General features: G+C 39.0%; 2 protein-coding genes and 1 long non-coding RNA gene across 5 annotated transcripts in view; 2 read left to right on the forward strand and 1 right to left on the reverse strand.

Annotated features, from left to right (window-relative positions):
• TLCD4 (TLC domain containing 4) overlaps positions 1-17314 on the forward strand; it is a 105091-nt gene that overhangs the window by 81097 nt on the left and 6680 nt on the right. For both annotated transcript variants that reach the window (NM_001199679.2, NM_152487.3), the window contains exon 6: positions 203-276. In NM_001199679.2, the coding sequence (NP_001186608.1) occupies positions 203-276 (74 nt within the window). The remainder of the gene's footprint in view (positions 1-202; positions 277-17314) is intronic.
• The window catches only part of TLCD4-RWDD3 (TLCD4-RWDD3 readthrough), a 127033-nt gene that overhangs the window by 55691 nt on the left and 54028 nt on the right, over positions 1-17314 (forward strand). The window contains 1 exon segment of the mRNA NM_001199691.1: positions 203-276. Coding sequence (NP_001186620.1) covers positions 203-276 — 74 coding nt within the window.
• Positions 1-17314, reverse strand: part of RWDD3-DT (RWDD3 divergent transcript) — a 70764-nt gene that overhangs the window by 10395 nt on the left and 43055 nt on the right. The window contains exon 4 of one of the 2 annotated variants that reach the window (NR_125948.1): positions 6721-6746. The exons of the other annotated variant lie outside the window; for it this stretch is intronic. This is a non-coding gene — a long non-coding RNA (RWDD3 divergent transcript). The remainder of the gene's footprint in view (positions 1-6720; positions 6747-17314) is intronic. 2 annotated transcript variants of the gene reach the window in all.

Consider the following 17314-nt stretch of genomic DNA (forward strand, 5'->3'; position numbering starts at 1 on the left):
TTTAAAAATACTGTAGAATTCCAAGGATCTTTCTATATTCTCACGAAGAAAATCAGTTTAACAGTAAAAGGTAGAAAACTTCTTGATCTGTTTTGGTATTGATTGTTATATTATGCTGAGAAGCTATTGGATATTTCTACGGTATTTGGGAATTTTGTTAAGAATGTTATCCTTGACGTTGTGTTTTATGTTTATCATTCAGAAAAATGGAGTGCTGGCATACATTGGGAATTTTCGCCTGCTTGCAGAGCTTTCCAGCCCGTTTGTGAATCAGCGGTATGTTACTGATATCATTGATTATTTTAAAGTCATGCTGTTTATTTTTAGTTTGGGCAAATCCTTTTCCCGTGATCCTCAAGTTACTATATAAAAGATACGGATCTGTGATATGAATTGTTATCACCATCATACAAATGAGGAAAGTGAGTTTTGGAAAGGTTAGAGTAACTTACCCAAGTTTCCCTAGCTAGCAAGTGGTGGTGCTAGCTTTTAAATCCTGCTCTTTGCAGTACGATGGTGCTTTATGATGCCTGCTTCCAGCTCATTCTTTCACCCTCCACGTTGTACACTGCAAGATGAATGGTATTCACTGAATCTTAGATTTGAGTGGGGCTCTTTATGGAAAAGGACAAATATCACTGTGGCTCATTTTGAGTCTAGCTCATATTCCTGACACTAACTTCCTCCTGTCCCCAAATTCTTATATTGACATTATCTTAGTGCCTCATTGAAATACATAATCTTTTTATTTTTTAAATTTAAAAGGCTACTTTTAGCTGGGCTCAGGGGCTCACGTCTATAAATCCCAGCACTTTGGGAGGTTGAGGCAGGAGGATTGCTTGAGGCCAGGAGTTTGAGACCAGCCTGGGTAACATTGTGAGATCCCATCCCTACAAAAAAAAAAAAAAAAAAAGAAAAAAGAAAATTAGCTGGGCACGATGGTGCTTGCCTGTAGTTCTAGCTGTTTGGGAGGCTAAGGCGGAAGGATTGCATGAGTCCAAGAGTTTAAGCAGTGTGTCCAGTGAGCTGAGATCCAGCCTGGGCAAAACAGAGAAACCCTGTCTGTAAAAAATTTATTTTTTTTAAAAGACTACTTTTATTTTAAATACATACAATGTAAATAACTAAACTAACAATTTGTAATATTGATAGTCATCACTAGTGAATTATTATTATTTTTGAGATGGAGTCTCGCTTTGTTGCCCAGGCTAGAGTGCAATGGCGCCATCTCTGCTCACTGCAACCTCCACCTCCTAGGTTCAGGTGATTCTCCTGCCTCAGCCTCCCAAGTAGCAGGGATTACAGGTGCCCACCACCATGCCTGGCTAATTTTTGTATTTTTAGTAGAAACGAGATTTCGCCATGTTGGCCAGGCTGGTCTCAAACTCCTGACCTCAATTGATCCACCCGCTTTGGCCTCCTGAAGTGCTGGGGTTACAGGCATGAGCCACTGCGCCTGGCCCATCTCAACCATTTTTAAGAATACAGTTCAGTTGTGTTAAGTATATTCACATTATTGTGCAACAGACCGTTAGAACTTTTTCATTTTGCAAAATTGAAACTCTACGCCCATTAAACACTAATTTCGCTCTCCTGCAAGTCCTAGACAACCACCTTTCTACTTTCTGTTTCTATGATTTTGACTAAATAATTCATATGAATGGAATGATACAGTGTTTATCCTTTTGTGCCTGGCTTATTTTGCTTACTATAATGTCCTTGAAATGCATCATGTTGTAGCATATGACAGGATTTTCTTCTTTTTAAAGGCTGCATAATATTCCTGTTGTATGTGTAACACATTTTCCTTATGCATTCATCCGTCCATGGACATTGAGATTACTTGCACCCCTGGCTATTGTGAATAATGCTGAAATGGACATGGGCATACAAATATATTTTTGAGACCCTGTTTCAAATTCTTTTGGATATATTTCTAGAAGTGGGATTGCTGGATCATATGATGGTCCTTTTAATTTTTTGATGAACCTTCAGACAGTTTTCCATAATGCATACATCTTTTTACATTCCCACTAACAGTGCACAAGGGTTCTGATTTCTTCACATCCTCATCAACACTTGCTGTTTTCTGTTCTTCTGATAGTAGCCATTCTAATGGGTGGAGGTGGTATGTCATGTGTTTTTCTTTTTCTTTTTCTTTTCTTTTCTTTTTTTTTTTGGATACAGGGTCTCACTCTGGTTCCCAGGCTGGAGTGCAGTGGCATGATCTTGGCTCACTGCAGCCTTGACCTCTCAGGCTCAAAGGATCCTCCCACCTCAGCTTTCTAAGTAGCTGGGGCTATAGGCATGTGCCACCACACCTGGCTAATTTTTGTATTTTTTGTAGAGAAGGAGTTTCACCATGTTGCCCAGGCTGGTCTCCAACTCCTGGGCTCAAGCGATCCTCCCACTTTGGCCTCCCAAAATTCTGGGATTACAGGTTTGAGCCACCGTGCCTGGCTGGTCATGCGGTTTTGATCTACATTTTACTTTGATTCATGGTGTGGAGCATCTTTTCATGCATTTCTTGGCCATTTGTATATCTTTAAAGAATTGCCTGTTCAAGTTCTTTGCCAATTTTTTCCTTTTTTTTTTTTTGATGCAGTTTTGCTCCGTCGCCCAGTCTGGAGTACAGTGGCGTGATCTTGGCTCACTGCAACCTCTACCTCCTGGGTTCCAGTGATTCTTGTGCCTCAGTCTCTTGAGTAGCTAGAATTACAGGCATACACCACCATGCCCAGCTAATTTTGTATTTTTCGTAGAAATGGGGTTTTGCCATGTTGGCCAGGCTGGTCTCGAACTCTTGACCTCAAGTAATCCTCCCACCTCGGCCTCCCAAAGTACTGGGATTACAGGCATGAGCCACTGAGCCAAGCCCTTTGCCCATTTTTAAATTGGGTTATTTATTTTGTTGTAGTGGTACTGAATATTGATACTTTATCAAATACATGATTTGGAAATATTTTCATCTATTCCATAGGTTGCTTTTTCACTCTGCTGATTGTTTCCTTTGATGTGCAGAAGATTTTAAAGTTGATGAAGTCCCATTTGTCAGTTTTCGTTTTTGTTGCCTGTGCTTTTGGTATCATATCCAAAAAATCATTGCCAAGTCTAATATCCTGAAGCCTTCCCCCTATATTTCTTTCTAGGAGTTTTATAGTTTGGGCTTATGTGTAGGTCTTTAATTCATTTTGAATTAATTTTTATATATGGTATAGGGGTCCAACTTCATTCTTAGAATGTGGATATGTAGTTTTTCCAGCACATTTGTTCAAGAGACTATCTTTTCCCCATTGTGTAGTCTTGGTACCCTTGTCAAGTCATTTGGCTGTACATGCAAGGGTTTAATTTCTACAGTAGCTTCTAACTGACTTCCTAATTCCAGATACACCTTCTCTCAGTCCTTTCCTCACAGTGTTACCAGAATCATCTTTCTTACATTCCACTTTCACTACCTTATTTTTTCACTAAAAGCTGCATCCTGTTTACACTTCTCTCTCTGACTTCTGAAGTTCTCTGTGATGTGCTCCATATGCCTTCAGCCTCTTTTTTAAAATTATTCATTAGAATCAGTTTTCTATCCTTACTGTCTTATGTTCCTTTGGGTTTTTCTCATATTTCTTCCTTTATTCATATCCTCTGTTTTCTCCCCATCTTTGAAAAATTTACTTATCCTTTAAGTCTTAGTCAAAATCTAAAACCCGGGGAAGGCTTCTATGATTATATGTCTTGTTATTTAGTACAGGGGTAACACAGTAAGTTGGGAGTATTCCACATCAGAGACACATAAGTTAGAGCACTTACCCTGAATGAAGCCTCATGAATAATTTCAAAGATACTGGCCATTGGAGGCACAAGCAAAGCAGGAAGATGTTCAGGACAATTGACAGGGCTCCCTAGTTCTGTGTGCCTAGGGTATACTCTGGAACAAGATTACTTGTGAGGTCTCTTTTTAAAAATAATTTTATTTTTTATTAAAATTTTTGTTTAACCGCTAGACCACCTGGGAACCTGTGAGGTCTCTAAGTGATGTATGCAGTTCATATTATTTACATAGAAGGAGCTCTCTTGGTGATAAAACACCTCCAGTTAATCTTGAGTTACATAGCTTATATGACATTCTCAAGGGGGTCAGATCTCATAAATCCATTAATTCCTGGGTCACTTACCATAAGCAATCCTAGACTAAGTATGTTCTTCTAAAAGCATCCCATAGATGAAGCCTCTCTTGCTACAAATTTTATTAGTCTCTTTATCAAGAGGTTTGGCATTAGTGTGTTTACCAGGTGATTAGCCTGGATCAACTGTCTTTTTTTCTTTTCTTTTTTTTTTTTTTTGTTTTTTTTTGTTTTTTGGAGATAGAGTCTCGCTCCATCGTCCAGGCTAGAGTGCAGTGGCGTGATCTTGGCTCACTGCAACCTACACCTCCCGGGTTCAGGCAATTCTCCTGCCTCAGCTTCCCGAGTAGCTGGGACTTCAGGCGCATGCTGCCACACCCGGCTTTTTGTATTTTAGTAGAGATGGAGTTTCACAGTGTTGCCCAGGCTGGTCTTGAACTCCTGAGCTCAGGCAATCTGCCCACCTCGGCCTCCCAAAGTGCTAGGATTACAGGTGTGAGCCACTGCACCCGGCCTCTTTTTAATTTTTATTATTTATTTGTTTTTGAGATGGAGTCTTACTCTGTCACCCTGGCTGAAGTACGGTAGTGTGATCTTGGCTCACTGCAACCCCAACCTCCCAGGTTCAAACGGTTCTCCTGCCTCAGCCTCCTGAGTAGCTGGGATTACAGGCATTCGCTGCCATCTCACCTGGCTAATTTTTGTATTTTTAATAGAGACGGGGTTTGGCCACGTTGGCCAGGCTGGTCTCGAACTCCTGACCTCAGGTGATCCACCCACCTCGGCCTCCCAAAATGCTGGGATTACAGGCGTGAGCCACCATGCCCAGCCCTTTTTTTTTTTTTTTTTTTTTTTGAGACAGTCTCACTAATATTCTCCCTGCTTCTCTCTGGGTGACTTCTTTCCTCCCAAGGTGTCAGCTCTTAACTATTTACTCATATTGGTGTAAGGGACTATGCCTTAGTTTTGGAATCGGATAAACTCAAGTTGCAATGACCTTGGACAAGTTACTTAATATTCCTGTATTATAGTCATTTTATCTATGAAAAGAACATATTTAATATTACCTATTTCTTTGTATTATAGTCAAGTGTTTTGTTCTCTTAGGTGGCACGTTGAATCAACATGTGTAAAGTAACACAACATATTTCCCTCTATACTCAGTGCATGGCCCAGCTGTCCACTTGGTTACTGCTGCTCAACATGGGTGAAGTGTTTTTGACTATTTCTCCCTCACTTTATTTGATCCAGCATTAGGTTCTACCATATCACCTCCTAATATTTCTCACCTTTACCACCTCTTCTCTGTCTCTACCTTCAGTGCCCTAGTTCACCATCTCTTGCTGGCTACCTTACCAGTTTCTAACTCTGTACTGTTTGGTAGGGTAACCACAAGCCACATATGAATATTTACATTTAAATCATTTAAAGGAAATAAAATTAAAAATTCAATTCCTTAGTCTAACTTTTGGCATTTCTAGTGCTTTATGGCTCCATGTGGCCATACACGGAACCTACAGCTATGTGTGAGCAACATACCTTTAGTAGAACATTTTTATTATTGTGGAAAGTTCTTTTGGTCAGTGGGGCTCTAGGCCAGGTTGGCAAACCATGCATGGCTCATGGGCCAGACCCGCTGCCTGTTTTTGTAAACAAAGTTATACTGGAGCACAGCCATGTTCACTTTTCTGCCATGATTGCTTTAACTCTACCATGGCAGAATTGCATAGTTCTGACAGAGAACAGATGGCCACCAACAGCTACTGCTTTAATGTTCACTATTTGGCTCTTTATGGAAATAGTTTTCCAGCCCTTGTCATAGACCATCTCCTGTCTCCTATCCTGTTCCCCTTTCATCTCTCTTCTATATTATTATCTTTCACAATAAAGAAATATATGGCTTTGTAGGAGCCTACAACATAGCTTAAGAAGAAAAAAATATGTAGCTTCCTTGGTTAAAACCTCTCAGTGGCTCTGGCTGCTTACAGGATAAAATATGAGCTCTTCAGTGTGACACAGAAAGCTCTGCAAGAAGAGCTGTCTTATCTCCTTCTGCCACATGGCCCCTCAAACCCTCATCTCACACCAGCTTGTCCATCTACTGGCAATGCCTCCTGTCTTACTTGTTATTTAGAACTCAACCCAGGGATAATTTCCATCACTAAAACCCATCTCTTTCCAGGCTGAATTGGGTGCCTCTTACATATCCTTTCACAATAGCAACATATGTGTATATTACTATACTTAATGTATTTTATTGCAAAGTTCTCTCTTTTTTATGTTTCCTATTTATCTTTACATTTCATTAGATCAAGGGCCAAATTTTGTTAAACTTTGCATGGTCCAGTGTCCACACATTATCTGGCATGTAGTAGCCATTTGATTGCTTTTTGAATGAATGACTCCCAAGAGGTGATAAGTTAAGCTTTAGCTAATTCTGTCTCTTGAATATGATTCTGATTATGAGATTTTGAAGCAGGATAAAGCTACCTTTGACACTAATAGGCACCTCCATTTGTTTTTGTTTGAAACTCTTTTAGAGAAATTATAAAATTAGAGATAGTTTAATTTTATAGTTTTATAATAAAAACTTATACTGTACCTTTATCTAAAAGCTTTGAATCCTTCCTGTTAAGAAAATGAGAACTGGCGTTAGAATATGAATAAGAAATGGCATCATTGGGCAGTAAGGAGATTGTAACAATATTGAGCACAGCTTCTGTCAGAGTTTCCATAGTTTAGTTGTTTTCTTTTTTAGTTTGAGATATTTTTATTTTCTCTCCATTTTAGAGCTTTGTATATAAGAAGGCACATGGCATACATGTGCTGGGGTACAGAGTGAAAAAATACTGAATTAGTTTAGACACCTGGGCTTCAGTGAAATTTCTGCTGCTGAGTTATGCCCACACGCAGGTTTCTTTTATATAAAGTAATTTAATGGTGCTAATTTCTTTCTTGCCTAAATGCTCTTAATTGTTTTTGAGGACATATTTTATGAATTGATATTGAAATTGAATACCTTGTAAAAGCTTTGCACCTGTGTTTCTTAATATGTTCATTCAATATTTATTAAATACCTCTTCAGTACCTAAATGTCCCATTCTGTGACTTCAAGGAGCTTTAGATATAGCGTCTGGCTTCATGTCTGTGTTTGAGAAAATAGTACCTAAAAATATAAAATACAATTTTTTCTTTTTTCTACTAAAAACACAAAAATTAGCTGGGCGTGGTGGCACATGCCTGTAGTCCCAACTACTCGGGATGCTGAGGCAGTAGAATTACTTGAACCCAGTTGGTGGAGGTTGCAGTGAGCCGAGATCACGCTACTGTACTCCAGCCTGGGTGATAGAGTGAGACTCTGTCTCAGAAAAAAACAAAAAATTATTACCTCATTGAATATTAACAGTAATGTTCCATGTTAACACAATATTTGTGTGTGTATGAAAAATAACTGCATTGCCAAAACAAACCAAAAAAAAAAACAGTAGGAACAGTGTCATTGTTTTACATTTTTGCAAATCTCTTTAATATCTGGAATGATAGAATTCAGCTGGATTCTCAGATGGGCTTCTGTTTTCAGTCTGTTGTGATAAGTAGTGTTTGAAGCATATGAAAAATATCTAGCCTCTCAGAGTTAATTATGCAATAGAAAAAAAGTATTTTAGTGGCCTTTTCAAATACTAATAATTGTGGATATTCCTTAATATGTCATCAAAATATACCAAGAGGTAGTTTCTTAAAGGGTAAGTAAATGTGAAATCTGAAACCATATCAATGAACTTTTCATACTCTGTTATATTCAAATTCATTGGCCTTTCTTGGGCTTTAACCTGTTTTAAATTTGTTTAATTATTTATTTATTTATTTATTTATTTTTTTTTTTGAGATGGAGTCTCGCATTGTCACCTGGGCTGGAGTGCCGTGGTGCGATCTTGGCTCACTGCAACCTCCACCTCCCAGGTTCAAGCAATTCTCCTGCCTCAGCCTCCCTGAGTAGCTGGGATTACTACTACTCCCTGAGTAGCTGGGATTACTATGCCACCACGCCCGGCTAATTTTTTGTATGTTTAGTACAGACTGGGTTTCACTATGTTGGCCAGGCTGGTCTTGAACTCCTGACCTCGTGATCCACCCGCCTCGGCCTCCCCAAGTGCTGGGATTACAGGTGTGAGCCACCGCACCTGGCAGGCCTTCAATCTTTTACATATGCATAATTTTGATTCATCATGTCTTGGTCATTGGGAAAATATTGGCTCACTGAGTTATGTAGGTCTTCTAAATGTTGAACATTTATTAGATGACATTTAAAATATCACCGCAGATCTCATTAGAAAAGTCTTTAAGTATTGAGAGGCTGTCAAGCTCACAGTTGCAGATAACAAATTTTCCAATATTCTGATTTTCATTTGAAAGTTCAGATTTTGTTGTTGGTATCAAAACTGTCAGTTGCTTTTCTTTATGTGACAAGCCCACTTTTTTTTTTTATTTTTGAGAGAGTGCCTGCCAGATGGCTCAAGCAATCATAGTTTATTGTTTTTTGTTTTTTTTTTCAAGTAAAAATGGCAGTCTGTGGAAGAACCTGGTAGTTTAGCTTACAATTTAAACCATCAGTTGAGGGTTTTTCCTCAAGAAAACCATTTTACTTTGTAGCAGAAATGCCTTATGTGTACTTCCCATTTTATCATACAGAATATTAAAAAGACACATACTCAGAAGTCATCTAATAAAAATAATAAATAATTCTTACTGCTTCATTAAGGGCATTTCTAACTGAAACTTTTCTTTTTTCTGGTTTTGTTTTTAACTGCAAGCAAGCATGTGGTGGGAAAGGATACAGTGGCTACTAATACCATTTCTTTATTTGTGCTAAGATGCCAACAGTTTTATTTACTAGCACTTTACACTATCAGTATAGAAGTCAGCACAATGAAAAAGGCAAATAATGTTTTAATACTATTATTAAAATAATTATATCTTGAAGACCTCCCAAAAAGGACTCAGGGGTCCATAAACCACATTTTAAGACCTATCATTGATTGATACTTGTCACGTAAGGCTTCACAGAGAACGTGGCATACACTCTTAAAATGTTTTAGGACTTTTTTTTTTAAGAAGTGGATGGAGAGGGAAGGGCCTTCATTCAAGAAGAAAAGAATCAACATAGGATTTTGAAAAGTGAAATAAACATGCTATGGGAAAGAGAAAGTATAGGATCAAAGAGTATGTCTTAGGGGTAGGGTGGATAGATGTAGAGGATGTTGAGTGTCTGGGAGAGCTGATTGAACTTGACCCAGTAGACAGTGAGATTATAGTGGAGAAAGACATTCTGGAAAGAGCACTGAGTGGTTATAACTTTTGATATTTGTAGGATAGATTGTAACACTGGAGACAAAAGTTTGGGTTAGGTTACCCAGTTCTTAGTTGTGTGAATGGACAGTGTAATTTTATTAGTTCCGAAAGTAAATAAGAGTCCATATTAAGCTGTGGGACTAGAGAGATGACAAAATAGAGATTTTGAAGAAATGAAATGAAATTGGCAATGAACGGATAAAAAATTAGAGAATACGGACAAGTTTAAGACAAATCCTATATTGGACCCAGAGAAATGTGCCCATCAAAAGTGACAGAGAATTAGGAAGACTGAGAGGGAAGGTGACGAATTTAGTGCGGAGATATTGGATAAGAGGACAAACAGAGCATCTGAGTGGAAATTTAGTGAGAGCTCGAGAGAGGAATGTTGGGATGATCAGAATAAGGTGATATTTTAACCTGTGAGAAAAGATATATTTAGAAGATTAGAGTTAAATGTTTAAGACTGGAAAATCAGCCAGGTGTGGTGGCTCACGCCTGTAATCCCAGCATTTTGGGAGGCCGAGGCGAGCAGATCACAAGGTCAGGAGGAGATCGAGACCATTCTGGCCAACATGGTGAAACCCCGTCTCTACTAAAAGTACAAAAAAGAATTAGCTGGGTGTGGTGGCGCGTAGTCCCGGCTACTCAGGAGGCTGAGGCAGGAGAATCGCTTGAATCTGGGAGGCGGAGATTGCAGTGAGCCGAGATCGCACCACTGCACTCCAGCCTGGCGACAGAGCAAGACTGTCTCAAAAAACAACAACATAAAAAACAAAAACAAAAAAAACAAAAAAACAAGATTGGAGAATCAGAGAAAGAAGAGTAGATATAATGAAGGAATAATTTAGGAGTAGTAGGGGAACCAAAATAATATGAAGCTGGAGGGAAACTTGTCTAAAATTCAGTTCTTAAATTCCTAACCTTCCAGGGTTAATGTTTATTAAATACAAATGTTTACATGCCTGAAGAAATTACATTTGCAACTAAGATGTAAGTAGAGTCAGCTTACAGCCCAGTCCCTTCACAGAGTTCCAGAAACAGTACAGCATCCAAATCCTTATTGGAGTTTTTCCAAGGATGTCAACAAAGATCCAGTTTGTTACTCACAACAGCACTTCTTAAAATTCTCTTCATTCCTCTTGGACTCACAATATCTTGACCCCACAGCTTTCCTAAGGCTCTCTCAAACTTCTGACTCTCAACTCCTCTAAAACTCAACAAACCAGTGCCATCAAGGATCAATTATTTGTCCCTGTCCTCTTTTCTCACTTTTTTTTTTTCTGTGCCTGCAAATAGCCCTCCATCCTCTTTCCAAATGTAAATGTGAATTAGAGCAAATAATTCCTAGTTTTTACACTTTTTCTAGTTTTTACACAATTTTTAGTGAGTACGATACCTCTACACAATTAACTCCCAGTAAACTTAATGGGAAGGTTCAAGTTCCTTTAGAAGGGTAGGAGGAGGAATAATTGCTAAATGACCAAAGTTAGGATTTTCTCTCTGGAGTGAAGGGAGGATTGTATTAATAAATACATACAATTTGCTGTCTTTTATGCCTGTCTTAGTAATAACAGTAAATGGTGGGTAAAAGAAAGTGTTGCTGTTCTTCTTTCCTTCCTTCCCACATGCATGTTTTCCTCCCTTCCCCTCTTTCCTCTCAGATTCAGTACATACCTTCACAAACTGTTAGTCTTTATTTGCTAGAATGAAAGAATGTTCTAATTAGGTAAGAAGAGGTGGATTCCAACAAAATAAGTGATCTTTCTGCCATGGAAGAGGGAGGTAAGGAGGACAGTTATGTAAATATTATTTCACCTTGAGTTAATATTTGGGTTCTTTCCTTTGAAAGAAACTGGTTTAAAGACCAGGCACTGGTTAGATGGAAAAATTGGCAGAAGCTAACACTATGGTTATGAGGAAGCTATGGGTGACCAATTTCTTTTTTTTTTTCTTTTTTTTTAAATTATACTTTAAGTTTTAGGGTACATGTGCACATATGTAACTGACTAATTTCTTTTGTAGAGTTGCAGTCATATCGTCTTGGGTTTGGGAGTGTAGTAAGAATGTCTGTGAATATGTCTGACTCTCCTTTCAAAAAACTGGCAAAGAAGAGAAGCAGTGGAGGGGAGGTTTTTGGATTAGCAGGAATTGAGCACGTTGGTAAAAGAAGAATCAATTTATAGAAGGGGAACTTGGTAGAACAAGGGAAGGCAGGGTAGTTTATTGAATAAATCCTAGAAGATGAGGACTCTCCTCTGAGTTGAAAGGTAAAGGTGCCTGAGAAGAAGTTTTGAGATCTTGGGGTCAGAGTGGAAGGAATTCATGGTTGATGGACTCTAATGCAGTTGACTCCCGAACAACATGGGTTTGAACTGTATGAGTCCACTGACACATCTATTTTTTTCAATAAAATTTGCACTAAGTGTGCCTGCCTTTCCTTCCAACTTCGTCACCTCTTCCACCTCTGCCACCTTTGCGACAGCAAGTCCAACTCCTTCTCTTACTCAAGGCTAGTTAACGTGAAGACGACGAGAATGAAGACCTTTACAAAGATCCACTTTCACTTAATAGTACATATATTTTCTTTTCTTTATGATTTTCTTTTCTCTAGAAAATAACGTTTTTCTCTAGCTTTATTATAAGAATATAGTATATAATGCAAATAACATAAAATAATGTTAATTGACTTTATGTTATTGGTAAGGCTTCTGGTCAACAATCAGGTGTTTGGGCAAGTCAGAAGTCAAGCAATTTTCAACTGTGTGGGGAGTCAGCACCCCTAACCCTGGTGTTGCTCAAGAATTAACTGTATATCAGTAAGAAACCAGATGCTCTGATGGGATTGAGAGACAAAAGTGAATGAGGAAGGGAATTGACTTGAATGGCAGGACAGGTTTGGAAGCAATTATATGGGAACTATGGAGTGAAATGAAAGGACTGTCGAGCCAGTTTGAGAATTCTGCTGAAGTTCAAATCTTTTAAAATTATATTTGTGCCATTTATCTTAATAAAGATTGGTGGGTAATGATATTTATTGAATTTACAGTATGGGGGAGTTGTTACTCTGTGTCATGGCAGCTTCATAGTACAAAGGAGGTACTATCATTTATCCCCATTTATAGAGATAGAACAAACATAGAGGTGAATAGCAGAGAGAGCTAAGACCACACAGTTGCTCCATGGCAGAACCAGGCTTTCAACCCAGGCGGCCTGACTGCAGAGCACCCTAGCTACTCTTCACGTCATTCTGTATTGCCTAAGGAAAGCTGGCTTGATGAAACACTGGAGATCAGCAGAGTGGGTGAGATAGATGAAGTGGCAAGAGAACGGAGGGTGCTGATGTGTGTTCTGAAGTTAACTTGGAGTTTGGATTAGGTAGGAAAGGAAGTGAAAGCGTGGAGGCTGATAGAGAGAGATTTGAGGATTTGAAGGTCAAAGAAGTAGTTTAGGTGAGATTGGGTAAAGAGAAATATGGAAGGCTTATGATTAGAGAGGAATGGGTTCACTGAGGTATAATATTTCTTGAGTAATTCCAAGGCTGCCATGTAGTCAAAGAAATGAATGGCTGAAGGAGAAGGGAAGTCTTTGGAGAAGAGAAGGCTTGAGGATCAGAGACCTGGATTAGAATGTGGATGTCATTGCTTTAGTGATGTTTTTCCTATTTGCAGTATTATTTCATTAATTTAGCCATTGCTATCTAAATAGTCTTTCTTAATTGTCTTAGATAATTTAGCCCTTTTATCCTACATAAACTTATAAAATGTAATACATCTCTCATCCTATATAAATTATTTGATATTTTAATCACTCAATAAAATATTTTCAAGCTTTTTAACTATTAATTTTTAGTTTCTTATGTTGAACAATTTTAGCTTAATCATGACTAATTCAGTTAAATTGAATATTAAGATACACAGATATGTTTTACTGCCTTTGCAATTTGATCTCTAAAATGATGTAAAATTAGGCAAGGCAGTTTTTTTAAGGAAGAAAAAGTGGAATAGAGCGAATGTTCACTGACTTTTTAAAAACCTTTTTATCTTTAGAATAGTTTTACATTTACAGAAAAATCAGAAGGCTGATACAGAGGGTCCCTGTGTACCCCACACCCAGCTTCCCCTATTGTTAGCGTCATAGATCAGTGGGTGCAGTTGTTAACAATTAGCGAGCCAGTGTTAATATCTTATTGTTAACTAAAGTCCATACTTTGTGTGGATTTCTTTCGTTTTTGCCCAGTGCCCCTTTTCTGTCTCAGGATCCCTTCCAGAATGCCACACTACATTTAGTTTCATGTCTGCTTAGGCTACTGTTGGCTGTGATCGTTTCTCAGATGTCCTGTCTCTGGTGACCTTGACGGTTTTGAGGAGTACTGATCAGGTGTTTTGTAGACTGTCCCTCAATTTGGGTTTGTCTGATGTTTTTCTCATGATTACACTGGGGATATGGGGTTTGGGGAGGAAGACCACCGAGGGACAGTATCATTCTCATCACACATATTAGGACTGCATGCTGTGAACATGACTTAATCATTGTTGATGTTAAGCTTGTTCACCTGAGGTACTGTTTGTCCGGTTTCTCCATTTTAAAGTTATTCCTTACACCTGCCCTCCCCCTGCCCCTTCCATACTGTACACTTTGGAAGGAAGTCACTGTGTGTATTAGTTTGTTGGGGACTGCCATAAAAAATGCCACAGTCTGGGTGGCTTAAATAACAGAAATGTGTTTTTGCACAGTGCTGGAAGCCGGATGTCCAAGACCAAGGTGCCTGCAGGGTTGGTTCTTGGTGAGGCGCCTCTCCTCTTCTTGCAGGAGGCAACTTCTCTCTGTGTCCTCACATGGCCTCTTCTCCGTGTGTGCATGGAGGAAGAGGGAGAACTTTGGTCTCTCCTTTCTTTTAAGGGCACTGGTCCTATTGGATTGGAGCCTGACCCTTGTTACTTTATTTAACCTTAATTGCCTTCTTAAAGGACCTATCTTGAAATACAGTCACTTTGGGGCTTTAGGGCTTCAACATAAGAATTTAGCCGGGCGCGGTAGCTCACGCCTGTAATCCCAGCACTTTGGGAGGCCGAGGCGGGTGGATCACAAGGTCAGGAGATCAAGACCATCCTGGCTAACACGGTGAAACCCCGTCTCTACTACAAAATACAAAAAATTAGCCGGGCATGGTGGCGGGCGCCTGTAGTCCCAGCTACTCGGGAGGCTGAGGCAGGAGAATGGCGTGATCCCGGGAGGCGGAGCTTGCAGTGAGCCAAGATCGCGCCACTGTACTCCAGCCTGGGCGACAGAGCGAGACTCCGTCTCAGAAAAAAAAAAAAAAAAAAAAGAATTTAGTGGGAAACAGTTCAATACATTACACTATACACAGCCCACACTTGAGGACTAGGGGTTTATGCTTTACCTTGTTGAAGGTGTGATTTCTACATAAATTATTTGCAGTTATTCGGAACAGATTTGTTTCTTCTCCCCTATTCATTCATTCATTCATTTATATCAGTATTGATTTCTGGATATTTATTTTATACTTTAGGTTATAATCCAATACAACATTATTTATTTTGTTGCTCACATTGTGAGTTTTGGACCTGGAGAGCTCATTTGGTTGGTTTCTGTGTTCCTTTGACATAAAGAAACGTCATTTTGTTTTTTGAGCACTTTCTTGCTCTCTGGCCCTAAATGATACTCTAACAGGTTCATATTGTATATTGTGTATTCTCTGTTCCCAGCCCTCAAATCAGGTATTTCTCAAGGAACCCTAGTTTCTTTCATTGGAGAGTGGTATTAGAAGCCAACACGTGGATGCCATGTATGCTCATTGTTACTGAGGCATCATTGTTTCTATGGGCTCCTAGCTGACAGAACCTGGAAATATGCTGACCTGTGTGTATACACCTATCTATAATTATTTCTGTATGTATGCATTTATAGCTATATCAAGCTAAAATAGTTCACTGTTTCCAAATCTAATCCAGTATCTCATGGAAAAAATCTAGCCGCCTCTTGCTTGTCTGAAACCTTTCTATCCAACAATGAGAAACCTGGTTCCCACTATTTTTCATCAAACAAATCCATTTATTTGTTCAGTCCTGATATACATGTATAATGGTTTCAGAATTGTTAATTGTTTTTGCGTGAACTAGAGTACATTGCCTGTATACAGTTTCTTTTGCCTTTGTCTTATAGTCTCCATCTTTGAAGTCACTTAGGTCAGCACCTCTTTCTACCTTACTCCTTTCAGGGATGTTATATCATGCATTTGTAACAGTTAAGATTCTTTTGTCACTGTTTGCATTGCATCCTGGTATCCCCCAACCTCCTAATTGATTGTTTAAAATTTTGCATACATCAGGTTCACTTTTTGTGCACTTCTGTGGGTTTTGATAAGTGCATAATGTCATGTATCCACCACTATAGTATTATGCAGAACAGTTTCACCACCCTAAAATATCCCTTGTTTTACCTACTCAATCCCCTTCCACTCTTTCCGAAACTCTGGTAACCACTATTCTGTTTTCTGTCTTGATACTTTTGCTTTTTCTAGAATGTCTATAAATGGAATCATACAGTGTACAGGATTTTCAGACTGATTTCATTTACTTAGCACTTTAGATTCATTCTTGCTGTTACATTGATAGTTTATTTTTATTGCTAAGTAGTATTCCAATGTATGGATGTACTACAATGTTTGTCCATCTTGATGGCTTGTAGTTGTTGGCAGTTATGAATAAAGCTGGTGTAAACACGTATGCAGCTTTTGTGTGGACATACATTTTTTAATCAGTTGGAAAAATACCTAGGAATGTGATTGCTGGTTTGTGTGCTATGAATATGTTTAGTTTTATGCCTGCTAAACTGTCTTCTAAAGTGGTTGTACCATTTTGCATTCCTAGCAGCAATGAATGTGTGTTCCTCTTGTTCCACACCCTTGCCAGCAATTGTTATTGTCCATTTTTTGGGATTTTAGCTATTTTAATAGGTGTGCATAGTATCTTGTTGCTAAAATTTGCACTTTCTTTTTTTTTTTTTTCTTTTTTTTTGAGACAGAGTCTCACTCTTGTTGCCTAGGCTGGAGTGCAATAGCACGATTTCGGCTCACTGCAACCTCTGCCTCCCAGGTTCAAGAGATTCTCCTGCCTCAGCCTCCCAAGTAGCTGGGATTACAAGAATGCGCCACCACACCCAGATAATTTTGTATTTTTAGTAGAGATGGGGTTTCGCCATTTTGGCCACATTGGTTTCTTTTCTTTTCTTTTCTTTTCTTTTTTGAGATGGAATCTTGCTCTGTCGCCCAGGCTGGAGTGTGGTGGTGTGATCTCGGCTCATTGCAACCTCTGCCTCCTGGGTTCAAGCAATTCTCTGCCTCAGCCTCTGAGTAGCTGGGATTACAGGTGCCCGCCGCCATGCCTGGCTAATTTTTGTATTTTTAGTAGAGACGGGGTTTCACTATCTTGGCCAGGCTGGTCTTGAACTCCTGACCTGATGATCCACGCTCCTCAGCCTCCCAAAGTGCTGGGATTACAGGGGTGAGCCACTGCGCCTGGCTGGCCAGGCTGGTTTCAAACCCCTGACCTCAGGTGATCCACCTGCCTCAGCCTCCCAAAGTGCTGGGATTACAGGCGTGAGCCACTGCAATTTGCACTTCCTAATGACAATAGTGAACATCTTTTTATATGCTTAGTTTTCATCTATATATATTTTCTGATGAGGTTTTTGTTATGCTCTTTTACCAGTGTTTTAATTGGGTTGTTTTCTTATTGTTGACTTTTAAGAATTCTTTGTGTACTTTGTATACATGTACTTTACCATACATGTATATTTTAAATATTTTTTCCTAGTGTGTGGTT

This window comes from Homo sapiens, chromosome 1 (assembly GCF_000001405.40).
Source record: "Homo sapiens chromosome 1, GRCh38.p14 Primary Assembly".
Lineage (NCBI taxonomy): Eukaryota > Metazoa > Chordata > Mammalia > Primates > Hominidae > Homo > Homo sapiens.